This window comes from Homo sapiens, chromosome 7 (genome assembly GCF_000001405.40).
Source record: "Homo sapiens chromosome 7, GRCh38.p14 Primary Assembly".
Lineage (NCBI taxonomy): Eukaryota > Metazoa > Chordata > Mammalia > Primates > Hominidae > Homo > Homo sapiens.
The window spans coordinates 16,815,024-16,816,460 of record NC_000007.14 but is presented as its reverse complement, the minus strand read 5'-3'; positions in this window follow the sequence as shown (position 1 = coordinate 16,816,460).

Sequence of the window (1,437 nt, the reverse complement as noted above, 5' to 3'; positions counted from 1 at the left end):
AGGTCCTGGCTGTACAGGGACAAGTTTATCAGGTGACTTTGGAAGCATCACAGCTGAGCACAGGATGCTGAGGGAATGGTGCTGGGAGTCAGGACAAGCTGATCCTGCTGAAGTAGGTAAAACGGGCCTCAGAGAAACGCTTCATGGACTCTGCCTTTCCTGAGGCTGACCCTGGGAACAAAATGTGCCCTCTCTGACACCCACCCGTAATCCCGCATCACCCTTTAATCCAAAGAATCAGTTTACACAGACACTAGAGTTTCTGCCCAGTGTTCTCAGTTCCACAGAGATTGCACTTCAGGCTGTCTGCCGCGCAATGAAATCAGCATCTCTCTGGCTGCATCTTCTACTCCGCCTGCCCCAGCTCATGTGATTCCAGCCAAATGGCCTCCTCCACCCGCAGGGCAGGCTTCTTGCTTTTTCCTCTGCCTGGCTGTCTCCCTTCCCTTAGCACTCCATTTAAAATTGCAGACACCTGTACCAACGCTCCGTGTCCTCCTTATTTGCTTTATTTTTCTCCATCCTTGTTACTTCTATGTAACACACTATGCGTTTCACTAACTTATTTTGTTTATTGTCTGCCTCTCTGTGCAAGAATGTAAATTCCAGGAGCCCAAGAATGTTGCTGTTTTATTTGTTGCTGAATCTTCTGTGCCTAAAAAAGGGCCTGGAAGTAGTGGGCATGTCACAATTACCTTTTGGTTGAATGAAGTTTCCTTCACTGTTACTAATCAGTCATCACCACCAAAAATACTACCTGGTTATATGCACACAGACACATACATATAAGTACGTATACATATATGACACATATATACACACACACACATACACATGCACACAAATATGCAGATACAGACACACACACCCCTGGATAGTATATTAGATATATTAAAAACATGCTTGGTATTAAACACTGAGTTTTCTTAGAATAAAGATGGCACATCCTGGGAAATCTGCCGACTTACCCCCTATCCCATGAGATTACTTTCTTAGATGTTTACACTACAGCACACATATCCTGAATGTTATCATTTCTCATTCCAAGGACAAATACATAAGAGCAGGAAATAGAGGCCTTCTTCCACTTCTACAAGAAGAATGAGGTGCTATTGCCATTTCACCCACCCTAAACCAGGCCTCTCTCTGGGCACCCATCTGCTGCTCACCACCTTTATAGTCACCACCTGACTTGGCCTGGGCTTGCCCCTGGCTGCCCACCTCACCTACTTCCCTTCTTCAATCTCCCTCTCACCAATCAATATGAGTAAAGCCTGGTGCTGGCTCCACCAAAACTTTAAATAAAGCCACTCCCGTGTTACCATAGCAATAATCGCTCCTCAGACAACACTCTTTAAGCTGTCCCCCTGGATCTTCTTGTCCAGGGAGCAGATACTCATTTAAAAAAAATAATCATGAGAGTTCACATTAACACAA